Source organism: Homo sapiens, chromosome 7, assembly GCF_000001405.40.
Source record: "Homo sapiens chromosome 7, GRCh38.p14 Primary Assembly".
Classification (NCBI taxonomy): Eukaryota; Metazoa; Chordata; class Mammalia; order Primates; family Hominidae; genus Homo; species Homo sapiens.
In genome coordinates, this window is record NC_000007.14 from 30,288,643 (window position 1) to 30,304,475 (window position 15,833).

Below are 15,833 nucleotides of genomic sequence, written 5' to 3' on the forward strand. Positions count from 1 at the left end.
AGATATTTCAGTGTGTAGAAATTTCCTAGAATTGAGTTGCCAGACATCAGAATGTGATTATATTTATATAGGAGTTTTTAGGTGAAGTAAATCTTGTCCTTATTATTCTTTTCAGACTGAGGAGTGTTAAAGTGAACAGACGCTTTCTTGACTACTGCTAGTGTCGTCCATCACCTTTGTTTTAAAACAGGTCTTAAGGGTATTTCCTAATATTTAAAAATGTTGATGGTATTTTAGGGTTTGTTTGGCTTTAATTTACGTCTACGTTTTTTTTTCCACTGTCAAGTAGCTGTTGTTCATAAGAGCATAATATGAGTGGTCAAATAGCCTTTAATGATGCAGCAAGGATGGGGTAGATGAATTGGGCTATAGAAATATACCAATACATGGAGATTATTTCCAGAGAAATCGTGTGGACTTCTATAATGTATCCTTGAGTCCAGAAGTGAAAATGTAAAATGACTTAATCTAAGACAACCAGTGGTGCTGGGTTGCTTTTGGCCTCCTGATTTTCTTGAGCTTTTTTGGGTGTGGCTTGCTCATGAGTATTTCAGTAGTCTGATTGTAACTCAGGTGCCTTGCTACTTGTGAAACATGTTTTCTTATATTGAAGGAGTGTGGGTTATCTCTTAAAACTGAATATGTTGAATAAGACCTGTATTTCTAGGAAGATTTCTCTTAATTTTTAAGGCAGATGTGAAGTTTTATGGTGTTAGGTTATCTTCATCAATTAACCATTATGGAATCGGTCTCAGTTATCACTTCTTACCAATATCAAGTGCCAAAATGTTTGAATTTGGGATATTGTAATTAATCTATTTCCTATTCCTGAATGTTATTTTGTGCCATTGAAGGCTTTTATGGGGAGTGGCCGAAGAGGAATGTTTGCCTCTTTCTAAGAAAAATGAGCCTTCTAACCACAACCCCTGCCACTCCTGAAGTAATAAGAATTTTGGTGGTTATTGTTCCTCACTTGTAATTTCATACCTTCGTGTTACATGTTTTGCTGTGTGTAAGTGTGGCCTGTGTCATGGAAGTTTCTGCTTTGGGAATTTTTTGGAATTATTCTTGACTGCAAGGTGGGGAGGATTGGTGAGTTGCACAGGGCATCACCTGATCTGAGAGCAGCGTGACCTAAGAACCTGGTATTTTGATGCTTTGCTGGCTGGTGCAGTGCCTGAGGGAGTAAGAGCCCTGTTGTTGTAAGATAGTGTCTTACTCCCTCAGGCACATCTCCAACAAGTCTCTTGCTCTCCTCCAATTTGATCGCTTTGCCTGGTGACCAGTAACTAAGTTCTTCTGATTACCAAATATCATTAATGAGATATCAACTTTTAAACTATTTATTATTATTTGGGTTTTAAGGAGAATTGCCCTAATATTAAACTTATTACATGTAGTATTATGTATAATTGGGTATATTGGCAAATGTGTTAAAAGAGAGTGTAGGAACTGCTTTATGTAGCAAATTACTTCCTAAGTTTTATGTGAATATTCTTAAGAACTGTTATTTGAAATGTTAGTCTGTGTTTTAATTTTGCATGTACATGACATTTATTTGTTAAGAAATTGGACAAAACATAGGCCTTTTTGTGAACAAAGGGTTCAGAAATACCTTAGGTTCTGATTTTATTCGTTTTCTAAGCTGCTTATTCACAAATGACTGCAAATTTAGTGGTTCTAAGCAACACGTTTATTGCCTTGCAATTTCTGTGGGTCAAGAGGCTGGGCACAACTTAGCTGTGTCCTCTTTAAGACTGCAGTCAAAGTGTAGGTCAGGGCAGGGTTGTTATCTAGTGACTCAACTGGGGAAAGGTCTGCCCACAGACTTCCTTGGGTTATTGGCTGAATTTATTTCCTTGTGTCTGTTAGGTTCAGAGCAGCTTGCTTCTTCAAAGTAAGCAAAGGAAAGGTGAACTGGTGCTATGTTCTTACATAATCGTGTACATGTAATCACATACAACCCATTGCCTTTGCTGTATTTCATTCATTAGAAGCAAGTCATAGGTCCAGTTCACGTGCAAGGGGAGGGAATTATACAAAGGTTTAAACACCAGGAAGTGTAGGAATCAAGAATAGTCACATCAGTTCTTTCTGCCACATGGATTATAGATAGATTGACAGCTGAACATGTAACTTCTTTTTTAAACTCATTTTAATTTACTTTTAAAAAGTTGTACTAATGCATATGGTTAAGTATAGCATTAATAAACATGAACTTAACCCCTTTTAGGGGCTGGACATTATAGATACTGAGGGTACAAATATGGAGCTTCTTTATGCACTGCTCAACTCTCCATTGAATTTGAGAGATGGATATATGTGATCATTATACAATGCAACAAATTCTGTAATAGAACTGTTAACAAAACACTTAGTGAAGTATCTTTGTCTAGGCTGGTCAAAAAATGCTTCACAGAGGAGGGTACGTTTGAACTGTAGTTTGAAGGATTTAGAAGTTGTACGGAGAGAGGGCAGTACAGACTAAAGAAAAATCCACAAAAGTGTGGGTTTTGATAGGGCATACTGAAAAGTTAAATATGTCTGGATTGTAGGGTGCATAGAGGAATGATGAGAACCTGAAGCTAGAAAAATAGAAAGTGGAGCCAGTTGAAAGATTTTATAGTGCTGTAGGTTTGTTTTATCTAATGAAGTTTGAAAGCAGGGGGAGTATCATGATTAGGCCATTGGGCACAATTAACACTCGTAGTTTACATGGATGGCAACCTTCTCTAGTGGTGCAGACTTCAGGCTGTATGCAGCAACCCTGATCAGGATTCAGTTCTTAAGGAGGAGAGTGTGATAGCAGGAGAATAAGTTAGGATTCTTTTAAAATATAACTGATAGAAGATGCCTATGTTGAAAACATGGCATTGGTGAGGGAGAAGAAAAGTTAGATTTGATTGAGATTTCTAAGCTAGAACTGATAGAATTGACCTGGGTACATAGTGATGTCTTTAACCAGTATTAAAGATGAAAAGAACAAGTTTTAGGAAATGATAATGAGTTCCTTTCAGGCCTGTTAAATTTGAGTGGCTACAGGATTTTCATCTGGATAGAAGTATACTTTAAGTGGTTGGAAACATGAGTCTCTAATTCAGGATATTACAAAAAACTGAGAAATCAATTTGCAAGTTATAAATGAATCCAGAAAGTGGATAAGATTACTAAGGGATGAATATAGATTGACGAAGGACAAGGATGGAATCCAGAGGAGCAAGTATTTTAAGAGACAGGGAGAGGAAGAGGCCAGCAGTTAGAATTCAACCAGAGGGAAAGGAAGTTTTTTAAAAACCTGGGTTTTTTTTTAATTATAAAAATAATACCTGTTCACTAGAGAAAAACTAACATACGGAAAAGCAGGTATAAAAATCGCAAATTGCTTGTAATTTTACCACCAGAAATAACTGTTAATGTCTTTTATATATGTATTTGTTTTAGACACAAAATTTGGAACATTCATTTTTATATTGTTTTGATTTTAACCTTTCTGATGTTCTAATACAAAGTTTTAAAGCTACACATTTTCCTCCAAGAATTGCTTTACCTGAATCCCACTGATGTTGAAGTGTTCTTGTTAACATTCAGTGAAAAATGTATTTTAATTTCCCATATGATTTCTTCTTGATCCATGGGTTACATATTCTTTGATAACATGCTGTTTCCATTTCCACCAGTTTCTAACATCACATTAAAATTTTTTATAACATGATTTTTAATTATTACCCAGTATTCCAAAAATCACTCAAATATTTAATGAGGACGCGCTTTTCCGGACACTATTCTGGGGGTACAGCAGTGAAGAAATAAGATAAAAATCCCTGCTTTTAGGGGCCTTATTATTCTATTTGGGAGAGATAGTAAACAGACAAGTAAAATACATAGTGTGTTAGGGCATTGAGTGTAATGGAAAAAAAATGGAGTGCAAAGGCTGATAGAGATTCTGGGGTGGAGGCCTATCTATAGTTGCTATTTTAAATCGGGTTTTAAGGATGACCTCACTGACAAGGTGACAATTCAAGCAGAAAGTGAAGGAGCAAGTCATGAGGATCTCTGGGGTAAAAACATATTCAGGCACAGGGAGCAGTAACTATAAAGGCCCTGAGGCATGAGTGTACCTGATATGTAGGTTTACTTACAGCTGGAGTGCAGAGGGCTGTAGAAGATGAGAGCATAGTGGGGTGGCATGAGGTTGGGACAGAATCATAAACTGCCTCATAACCACTGACCTGTGGTTTGCGGCTTTTGTTTTAAAGAGGGATGGGGAGTATTTTTGTGCAGAGGATTGACATAATCTGACTTGGGTTTTAAAGGATTACTCTGGCTATTGTGTGAGGTGGCAAGAGTCAGCAAGGAGGCAAAAATCCAGATGAAAGATAACAGTGGCTTGGACTGGGTGGCAGTGCTGGAGGTGCTAAGCAGTGGCCAGATTCTGCATATCCCGTGTTTTGAAGATAGAGCCACCTGGATTAGATGTGGAGGTATGAGAGAAAATGAAGAGTCAAGGATTTATTTCGTTGTTCCTTATGGTTGAGCATTTTGTTTGTTTGGTACAGATGTAATAAAATACTGTTGCCATGAACACCCTGGTAAGCAAATTTTTACATTTTTTTTTTTTTTTTTTGGGATGGAGTCTTGCTCTGTCACCCAGGCTACAGTGCAGTAGTGCGATCTTGGCTCACTGCAACCTCTGCCTCCCAGGTTCAAGTGATTCTTGTGCCCCAGCCTCCCAAGTAGCTGGGATTACAGGTGTGCACCACCATGCCTCACTAATTTTTGTATTTTTAGTAGAGACTGGGTTTTGCCATGTTGGCCAGGCTAGTCTTGAGCTCTTGGCCTCAAGTGATTCGCCCACCTCAGCCTCCCAAAGTGCTGGGATTACAGGCCTGAGTGCCCGGCCAGTTCTTAGAAATTTATCAGCGACATGGGATTGCCAGAAACAAAGATACACTTTTGTTCAAGGCATTGGATCTTTATTGCCAAATTGCTCATTAGAGATGGAAACAGCTTCTAGCAAGGTATAATCTTTGGGACTACGTAAAATTTTTTAACCCATAAAAACTTGTGAGGTTTTTGATATTTATAAGTGCAGATTGGTGGATATATTTCGAGTAATGTCACCTATCAGAGTCATTATTTCATTCAGGGCTCTTTTTTTAGCGACGAAAATATTAGTGTGTCAGAAAATTATAGATGTATTCAGTCATTTGAATTTCATAAGTTCCGACCATGTGGAATATCCTAATTTTTGCTTGAATTGTGATTAGTCTGTAATAGTTCTTTAATTTACCTATTTATATGTGAGCTGAGGAAAAAAAGAAGAATGAAGCCATGCATACATAATGGGTTATTTATTTTTATTTTTATTGTCTTTTTTTTCTTTCCTTTTTGTGGAGAACAGGGTCTCGCTATATTGCCCAGGCAGGATTATGTGTAATATGTTTCAGAGAGCCAGTGCTCAGTTTGAACAACACATTTTGCTATTTTTGTTGGTTTTTAATTTTTTCTACTGTTACCTCTATTCTGTTCGTTCTCATTTTGTAAAGTTAATTTTGTTCTTTCTCTTAGCTTCTTTTATTTTTTATTTATTATTTTTTAATGATAAAAGCGTTTAAGGCTGTGTTTACTTCTTGTTACATATAGTCACTTCCCAAAGCTTTGGATACTTACCATTTTCATTATCATTGAGTACACATTTTTGTTTCTTTTAAAATCAGTTCTATCGGGGAATAATCATGTTAACTGCATTTCGATATTTTCTTTTACTTGGAAGTTATTTTAAAGTGTGGCTTTATTGTGGTGGTCCTTACTAGTACCCTTTCGTTACTTCTAGTGTTAATTTAGAAATATTGCACCGTGGCTGGGCACTGTGGCTCATGCCTGTAATCCTAGCACTTTGGGAGGCCCAGGTGGGTGGATCATCTGAGGTCAGGAGTTCGAGACCAGCCTGGACAACATGGTGAAACCCCATCTCTACTAAAAATACAAAAATCAGCCGGGCATGGTGGCAGGTGCCCGTAATCCCAGCTTACTAGGGGGTGCTGAGGCAGGAGAATTGCTTGAACCTGGGAGGTGAAGGTTGCAGTGAGCCGAGATCACACCACTGTACTCCAGCCTGGGTGACAGAGCAAGACTCCATCTCAGAAAAAAAAAGTATTGCACCATGGTCAGAGAATCTTAAGCCTTTCAGTTGTAAAGGATAGAAGCATAACTCAAAATAGCATTAAGTGGAAAAACTGTATATTGTTTCAAATTATTGAAAAGGATCCTAGGGTAACTTAGAGAATTGAAGGAACAAAGGCAGGACCCAATGCCCCTGGAGCTGAAATTTAGAGAGAGAGGGAGGGGGACAGAGAGAGAGAGGGAGGGAAGGAGAGAGAGAGAGAGAGAGAGAGAGAGAGAGAGAGAGTGTGTGTGTGTGTGTGTGTGTGTGTGTGTGTGTGTGTGTGTGTGTGTGTGATTGCAGGTGTCAGCCACTGCCCCCAGGCAGTATGGGCCTTCTTTAAGCTGGGGCCTTGAGACTCTCTGTACTTCCAACTACATGCGATCTTTCAGGCCTGAAGGGAGTACCTTTCTCTACCTCCAGCAGAAAGGACTCAGATTAGCTCAGTTTGAGTTCCGCATCTGTCCATAAATTACAAAAGCAGAGATGGGATGCACTTTATGTCCAGGCTGTATTCTGTTATTATGGGGAAGAGTTTAAGTCTTCAAGTCATGTTTCTTGGGCTGACCTTAAGCAAGTTGCTTAGTTCCTCTGTACCTCCGTTTTCTCATCTCTAGAATCAGGCCAGGTACAGTGGCTTGCACCTGTAACCCCCAGAACTCTGGGAGACGGACGGGGGCGATCGCTTGAGCTCGGGAGTTCGAGGCCAGCCTGGGCAACATGGTGAAACCCAGGTTCTACCAAAAATACAAAAATTAGCCAGGTGTGGTGGTGCGTGCCTGTAGTCCCAGCTACTCCAGAGGCTGAAGCAGGAGGATCGCTTGAACCCAGGAGGCTGAAGTTGCAGTGAGCCAGGATTGCACCACTGCACTCCAGCCTGGGTGATGGAATGAGACTCTGTCTCAAAACAAAACAAAAACCTGCTTTTGTAGTATTGTGAGGGTTAAAGTAGTCCACATACTTCATATCTCCGTACTTTTAACTATTGAATGAACCTCTTCAATGAATGAAAAAATTGAAACATCCAAGATTTATGCCGCACTTCCAGTCTCACCCTCCTCAGAAAGACCATGTGCTTTACTCTGATACCGTATTCCTTTCTCTTCCCAACTGCTCAGATTTTGCAAAAACAATCCAGTTTTCATTATTTTTATAATGTGTCTTCCTTATATTTACAAAATTCTCCCCTGAACATTTGAATTGAGTTTTTCAGCACATTTACTATGCCAAACACATGGTAAAAACTTTGTAAATATTGAATGTTTCCCAAAATGTATTTGATAACTACATTATTATGTTTTAAGGTAAGATTATTATCAAAATTATTGTCATGTTTAAATTATATATAGAAATGTATTGCTCTAGAAAGAAGTGGTAGGTTATGTTTTTATTTGTATAATGTAAATATAGGTAAATTAATTTTTGAACCAAATAGGTATAATATAGATTGTACAAATGGAGGCAGTTATAAAATTGCCTTAGAAGTAAAATTATACTGTGCTTATAGCTCTTTTATAATCATTTGAATGTGTTACAAAGTGTTATCAATGTGAGCGTGTTTTGTGGGCGGTTGGAGATGGTTGGAAGGATGGTTGATAAGGTAGGTCAGTGTTTTCATTAAGTGTGTGCTGCTGCTTCAGGGCAGAGGCTGAAAAACTTAGATTATTTTAGTTACATGATTTACTACATCTCAGGCAACCTGGATGACTTGGCATTTACTAAAGCAATTCACTGCTTTGCTGGTGCTTCAACACCCTTCAGTCTGAGAGCCCTGAAGTCTTGATTTGTAATTCTCCAGATTTCCTGTCTATCATAGCACTTCTTCAAAAACAGCATATCTGGTCACCTTGAAATCTCAGTTCCTTAATAACTCCTTTTGTCCACTCTTCCTACCACCTTACCGTACGCAGAGTTCTTTGGAGGATTGCCATTAGTTTCTTTAAAACAAAATAACTAAAATTAAGAATATTTAATATTATTATTGGCCACTTTAAGTGTCTTTATAAATGTTGAACTAATATAGTTACTTTCATATAGTAATGTATGTGTTAGGAAAGTTACTTCATAAGCACTGTCTCTTTTGAGCCTATGTCATAAGAAGTCGGTGGTAGAGTAGATAATTTCTTTAGCTGTTATCTGGAGATGAGACTTAGAAGTTAGATCAACCACTTGTAGTATTTTAAGTGTGAGTTATTCTGTATTTTAGTTGTGAAGTGTACAGAATCTAATTAGCTTTTAATAATTCAGAGTCCTTTTCACACTTGGCTGCTTTTCTTTTCCTGTACAATTTTGTGTTTTCTCTTTTGTCTTTTAAAAATTTGTTAGTTTAAAAATTGTTTAGTTTTACAACCCTCCCTCATTTGTATAAATCTCCTCTCAGATTATTCATATGATGAGTATTGCCTGAATTTCATTTTCTTGTTAAAGTCTCTTTTGAGACCCTCTGACCTACCCTGTTCCGAATTGATTATCCTATGAGATCTGTCTTTTTTCATCATCTTGGAGATTGTATTTGCCTGCCTCTCTCTTATGTTCAGTTTCCTGGTTCCTTGAATTTATGTGTCTTCTTTCTTGATGTTCTCCATTGTTTTTAGCCGATACAATTTCATAGTTCCTACTGAGAAAGAATATGTGTAAGGTAAAATTTTTTTGAGGCTTCCATTCCTGAAAATATTTTATTTCTGCCCTCATTTTTGATTAGTACTTTGACTTGATATAGAATTCTAGGTTGAAGTTATTTTCCCTGAGAATTTAAAATGTGTTGCCTTGTTGCCTTCTGGCTTCTAGTGTTGCTGTTGAGCACATAGATGTCATTATGGTTTTTGATCCTTTGTATGAAAATTTCATTATTACATGTCTTGGGAGGGAACTGTTTTCATTCATTGTGCAGCATATTTGGTAGGCTCTTTGAGTCAGCTGCTTTCTGTGATTTTTTTTTTTTGCCATTTTTTTCTTTGATGACTTAGATGTTGTACACCTAGAGTAATCCTTTGCTTTTTCTTTTTTCTCTTCAATTTTTGTATGTCTTTGGTTTTTGTTCTTTTTTTCTCTTGAGGGATTTATTTATTTATTTAAAGACAAGGTCTCGAGGCTCTGTCACCTAGGTTGGAGTGTAGTCGTGTGATCCTAGCTTACTGCAGCCTTGAACTCCTGGGCTCAAGTGATCCTCCTGCCTCAGCCTCTTGAGTAGTTGGGACCACAGGTGCATGCCACCATAGGGACTTTTAAAAACGTGATCTTATAACTCTTTTGTCAATTTTTATTTGTTTCTGTAATTTTAATTTTTAACTTAATTTTTAATGTTTTTAAAATTTCTGAGGTCTTTAAAAATAGTTTTTTTTCATATATTCCATTTTTGTTTTGTGGGTACAATACCTTTTTCTAAGAATATTACTGATACGAATTTACATGTGCATCTGTTTGTGTATATATGTATGTGTATGTATATATATGTATGTGTATGCTTTGTTCCCTTTCCTGATGACTCGGTTTCTTCCCACTTGCTTTTTCTGTTTGTTTGGCTTCATTCTTTTGTTAGATATTTTCTTTAAATGTTTGGTGATCTTTGGCTAACTCCTGATACTTTTAAAGTGGGGGGCACTAAAAAGCAAATTGGAAGCTCTCTGTGCATGTAGTGTCCTCTGTCTGGGCCATTTTCTTAGGGATATTACTGTCTTTTCTCTTGGGCTGGTCATATTTTCCAGAAATGGCTTTTCTTGCCTGGAATACACAATCGTTTATGCTAGTGATCTAGGAGCAGAGTGAGAAGAAGATTGAGAGTCTTAATACTCAAAATGATACTTTCATTTAATCTCAATATTTAGTATCAATACAGGACCTCTGCCTTCAGCTATTCCTGTTGTCTGCAAGTCTAGAAACTTTTCCCTTTCCTAATAACAAGCTTGTAGTAGAGTGCCAGGGTTGGGGTTGCTTAGCTGCTGCAAGTCAGGGAGGACAACTAGGAGATCTCACAGCTCCTTACGCAGACTGGCGATGAATCTTTCTCTTTTAGGCCTGCCTTCACCCCTGCTTCCAGGGATATCTTGTGCTTGCCAGTTCTTGTGCCTGCTGTAAATCAGTTTGCTTCTCTGCTTTCCTAGTTCTGCAGTGAAAATTATTATTCTTTAATTTTCTTTCCAGAGTCTAAAGGTACTGCTTTTTATTTCATCTTCTTGATTTTTTATAGGTGTATTCCCTTTAAAAATTACATTTTTATCATTTTAGTAGGATGTTTGGACTGAGCAGAAACTAATGAATGTGTACAACTAGTTATCTTTACTTAGTTTTTTTTTAATTGCAGAAGAAATAATAATTCACTCCTATAAAAATTTGGATGATGCCCCTGGGCGTGGTGGCTCACGCCTGTAATCCCAGCACTTTGGGAGTCTGAGGCAGGTGGATCACCTGAGGTCAGGAGTTCGAGACCAGCCGGACTAACATGGTGAAACACTGTCTCTACAAAAATTAGCCGAGCGTAGTGACGCATGCCTGTAATCCCAGCGACTCGGGAGGCTGAGGCAGGAGAATTGCTTGAACCCGGGAGGCGGAGGTTGCAGTGAGTTGAAATCGCGCCATGGCACTCCAGCCTGGGCAACAAGGGCGAAACTATGTCTCAAAAAAAAAAAAAAAATCAGATGATGCAAAAAAAGTGAAAGTCACTTTCAGTCCTCTGGTATGAACATGTTCAATTAGTCCTCTTTAATTGGAAGTTCTCTTTTTTTAATTGCAAAAGAAATAGGAATCAACCCCAAAAAATCAGGTTAGATAAAATGACAGTCACTTCCAGTCTTCCTTTGCTGATCCCATTGTCTTCCCAGATGTAACTGTTATTTTTTATACGTATACTTCTGTTTTAATTCATTTACATACTTTTAAGTACATAGAAAAAAGTAGTTTCATTTTGTATGTGATTTTGTGATGGAGGCTGTTATTGGCAAGAATGTGGTCATACTGTGTTCTTCTAAAACCTGCTTTTTTTTTTTTTTTTTTTGGGAGACAGAGTCTCGCCCTGTTGCCCAGGCTGGAGTGCAGTGGCATGGTCTCGGCTCACTACGAGCTCTGCCTCCCAAGTTCATGCCATTCTCCTGCCTCAGCCTCCCAAGTAGCTGGGACTACAGGCGCCCGCCACCACACCCGGCTAATTTTTTGTGTGTATTTTTAATAGAGACGGGGTTTTCACTGTGTTAGCCAGGATGGTCTTGATCTCCTGACCTCGTGATGTGCCCGCCTTGGCCTCCCAAAGTGCAGGGATTACAGGCGTGAGCCATCCCGGCCGTAAAACCTGCTTTTTCTCCATAACATATATTTAGAGGATTTTTTCATGGGAAAACATGAATACAAGTCTTTTTTTTTTTTTTTTTTTGAGACGGAGTCTTACTCTCTTGTCAGGCTGGAGTGCAGTGGCACAATCTTGGCTCACTGCAACCTCTGTCTCGTGGGTTCAAGCAATTCTTTTGCCTCAGCCTCCCAAGTAGCTGGGATAACAGGTGCACGCCACCACGCCTGGCTAATTTCTGTATGTTTAGTAGAGACAGGGTTTCACCATGTTGGCCAGGATGGTCTTGGTCTCTTGACCTCGTGATCCACCCGCCTCGGCCTCCCAAAGTGCTGGGATTGCAGGCATGAGCCACCACACCCAGCCAGAATACCCCAAATGTTTAATTAATGATAGATAAGTGAGGCCTGAGTATGTGGTTAGCTCTAATAAAAGATAGACTTAATTAGAATCTAACACTTCCTGTTTTATCTATTCTTTAATTTTACATTATCTGATTAGCAGTTTTTGGATGATATTAAGTGTTTTAAATAGGATTCACTACAGCAAAGTGGGATATAGTGGTTGATTCATTTGCAAATTCCAAATCCCCAGGAAAAGGAGAACGTTCAGAGAGCTTTATTTTTAGGATCATTGTTTCCAAATTTGGGAGAAATTTCACTGTCCAAGGAATACAGAGAAATGGTTGAATGAAAATTGTGAGTTGGGAATTTATTATGTTTTGTTATAGGCTGAATCTTTAAATATTAGGTAGACAATGGCTAGATATATGTAGTTTTCTTTCTGCTTATATGTTTCTTTTTTGTTTTCATATTTAAGCCCAGGATGTATAAATGAATCAAACAATTTAACTGTAATCCACAATTACAGCTGGGGCTAAAAAAATTTCAGCCTTGTGCAAGAGGAGCCTGGGGAGTTCTTATAGTTGTTACAACAATCAGACCGTACTGTCTTAAATAAGGACTCTGCATTTATCAAAGATGAGAGCAGTCTGCTGCTCTGCTCTTACAGCCTTTCTTATCAAGTGGCCTGGATTGAGAAAAACAACTGGAATGACAGAACCTCATCCTGGATTCCTTTAGTATCCATGGGAAGAGAGTGTTTTTAAAGCTAGGAAAGGGGCCAGGTGCCGTGGCTCAAGCCTGTAATCCTACCACTTTGGGAGGCAGAGGTGGGCGGATCACTTGAGGTCAGGAGCTCGGGACCAGCCTGGCCAACATGGTGAAACCCCTTCTCTACTAAAATTATAAAAATCAGCTGGGTGTGGTGGCACACACCTGTAATCCCAGCTACTTGGGAGGCTGAGGCAGGAGAATCGCTTAAACCCGGGTGGTGGAGGTTGCAGTGAGCCAAGATCACGCCACTGCACTCCATCCTGGGCAACAGAGTGAGACTGGGTCTCAAAATAGATAAATAAATAAAAGCTAGAAAAGGGACTTAAATTACTAAAAGCAATCTGGGGCATGGTTCGCTGCATTCACTTTTGATACATTAAATATTTTTGGAAGAGGCACTGGGCATGGTACTCTGAGGTCAGTCAAACTAGCTTTAGAACCTTCATCTTTTGCTTTCTTGGGCTTTACTTTCCAAAATGGACTACAGGATAATGAGGCTTTTTTTAAAAAAAAAAAAAAAAAAAAAAACTTATCTTTGTCTTAGATTTGAATATACTAGAGCGGGCAAAAATCCCATTATAACAATCTCCGAAAAGGTAATTAAATGTATAATATAAGAACAGACAATTAGGTCAGTAGCCTGGAGCAGGGTCCTCTTGTAGGCTAGTGCACTGAAAAGAACTGTGATGAGACGTGGACAGGAGCATGCTGCTGCTTGTTCAGGGAAGGAGGCTGCTTCACTGTTGCCACAGGGGTGGTGAACCAGTTCTGTCCGCTTCACTCCCTGGTGTTCGCAAGGCAGTTTTCGGAATCAGAAACTCTAGAGGAATTTGAGAACACTGATACGCTTACTTCACAGAAAACTGAAGTCTGTTGAGGACCAAATTGTCTGGCATGCCTTTGACATTCCTGCTTTTGCTCTGTGTCCATGTACTTAATATTTTAAAGAGCTCTTACTTTTTAAAAATTACTGTATGTAGCAAGGACTAGAGAAAAGTGCTCCTCATTCTATATGTGAATATATGATAGTGGTCTGTAAACCCAAGCTGCACATGGCTTAAATGTTCTTTTGTATTTTCGCTGGCTTAAAATTGAGCATAGAGGAAACTGGAAATGTTCTCTAATATCATGCATAGTCTCTGTATCTTATTTTTCTTTGTTTACTTATTCATTTAGTCAAAAAATAATTCAGCGCATGTTGCAATAGGTTAGGGAGGCTTTCTGGTCATAGGAAGATGACCAGAAGGATGAAGAAAAACCTCCGTCTTTAAGAAATGTATAGTCTCTAGTGTCCATCCATCAGGGCCTTGGAAACAAATGATTATGATATAAATTAAAGTACTATGTTTTTTTTTTTTGGTAATTTTGTTACCAAATTAGTGTATATATGTACATAAAAAAGACAAGGTAATATCCATACACTAAAAATTGGTTATCTCGGACTAGTAGAAATATTGCTGTTGTTTTATTCTTGTATATTGCCATTTATTTTCTATGGTAACACATGTATTTTTTAAACAGAAAAGAACTGGTGGCGGTATCATCATCACTGCTACTCTTTAATTGCTCCTTCTCCCATGCTACCACTACTAATGCTTTCAGAGCTCAAATTCATACTCCAGTCTATCTGACTCCAGGTGTGTGCCGTTAACTGTCAGGGCCCACAGAGCAAAATGCACTCTGGACAGCATCAATGAAAGTTTATCCTGTAGAATACTGGTCTCATAAGATTCTCCTGGAAGGAAGACTTCAGTAACGGAGCAAGTTTGTAACCTATTAAAGTTCTGTAATAAAGAAGTCTAAGGCTGGTTGTGGTGGCTCATGCCTGTAATCCTAACACTTTGGGAAGCTGAGGCGAGTGGATAGCTTGACCCCAGGAGTTCGAAACCAGCCTGGGCAACATGGAAAAACCCCGTCTCTACCAAAAATAGAAAACAATTATCCGGGCGTGGTAGTGCGCACCTGTAGTCCCAGCTAATCAGGAGGCTGAGGTGGGAGGATCACTCAACTTGGCTTCAGCTCACACCACTGCACTCCAGCTTGGGCGATGGAAATGAGATCCTGTCTCAAAAAAAAAAAAAAGAAAAAGAAAAAGAAAACTAGTTAACTCATTTTAATTCAGTATCTCCCGAATTAATTTTATAGTAATTTGACCCCTTTTTAAAATCATTAATTTTTTAGATGTTTTATGGCTCAAACAAACTTTTGGTGGGCCTGAGAATCACCCAGAGGGCTGGGCTCCACTCCAAGTTTCTGATTGAGTAGTTTTGGGGTGAAGAATGAGAATTTGCATTTCTAACAAGTTTCCAGGTGTTGCTGATGTCTACTCACCCTTTGTTTTGTGTCTTCCAAGTCCCATTTTGCCTTGAGGTATAAGCTCATAGACTATGATAAACTGTGATGTTAGTGTTTTCCTACTGGAAAAAGGTATCTTTAAGAGTAGGATATGATTGTGTTGATCACAGAGTATGGGCTGGGTGCTTTATTAACTGAATTACCCACTGTAGCATTATAGTTGGTCCCAGACCAGCAGCATCAGCATCTCCTGGGAACTTGTTACACACATTTTTGGGCCTCCCCCAGACTTACTTAAAACTTGGAGGCAGAAAGGGTACCAGCAATCTGTGTTCTAATAAACCTTCCAGGTGATTCTGATGCCTGCCAAAGTGTGGGAATACAGCTTAGTGGTTTTAAACCACTTAGGAATTATAAATTCAGACTGTAAAAGCAGCAGGAACTCTATTTGTGGTTCCAGATTCTCATTGGTGATTTTTCTGTCCCTTCCCCACCCAGTGTCATTGTTGAATAGATTTTACTTAAAGTTGCCTGGGTAGTGGTGGTAAGGAGAGTAATATTATTTTACTCTCCTTACTAATAATATTAGTTTACCTTCGCAGTGAAGTCATAACCCTTTGAGGGTATCCTAGCTGAAGGCAAAAGCCAACTGCTGCTGTTCACTTTATCTCTCTGGGTTTCCAGTCTCCTCTCCTTTTCTGGCCTAAGCAGCTATAGCTTCTTGCCAGCTCATTCATGTTTTTTAAGATTAAAAAAAATGCTGGATTTTGAGTTGTTTTAATTAGGATGGCAGGTCCAAGTACTTATTCCACTATATTCCAGGACTAGCATTCCCTATTATTACATTTAATGGATTTTGCCAGATTGCTTTCTAGGGAAATGCAAACTGAAGTAGTAATGTGATAGCACTTTATGCCTGTCAGACTGGCAGAAAATAAAGTAGTAACATACTGTTGCAAGTGATATGGCTTGTAAATGATATTAG

The 15,833-nt window shown here is 38.6% G+C and overlaps 1 protein-coding gene and 2 non-coding genes across 6 annotated transcripts in view; 2 read left to right on the forward strand and 1 right to left on the reverse strand.

Moving 5' to 3' along the window:
• Positions 1–15,833, forward strand: part of ZNRF2 (zinc and ring finger 2) — an 83,093-nt gene that overhangs the window by 4,046 nt on the left and 63,214 nt on the right. The window contains exon 2 of one of the 4 annotated variants that reach the window (XR_926925.3): positions 116–190. The exons of the other annotated variants lie outside the window; for them this stretch is intronic. The gene's annotated coding sequence lies outside the window, so the exon portion shown is untranslated. The remainder of the gene's footprint in view (positions 1–115; positions 191–15,833) is intronic. 4 annotated transcript variants of the gene reach the window in all.
• MIR550A1 (microRNA 550a-1) lies at positions 1,152–1,248 on the forward strand. Its single transcript, NR_030319.1, has one exon. It is a non-coding gene; the product is annotated as a microRNA 550a-1 (primary transcript).
• On the reverse strand, positions 1,152–1,248 carry MIR550B1 (microRNA 550b-1). Its single transcript, NR_037513.1, has one exon. It is a non-coding gene; the product is annotated as a microRNA 550b-1 (primary transcript).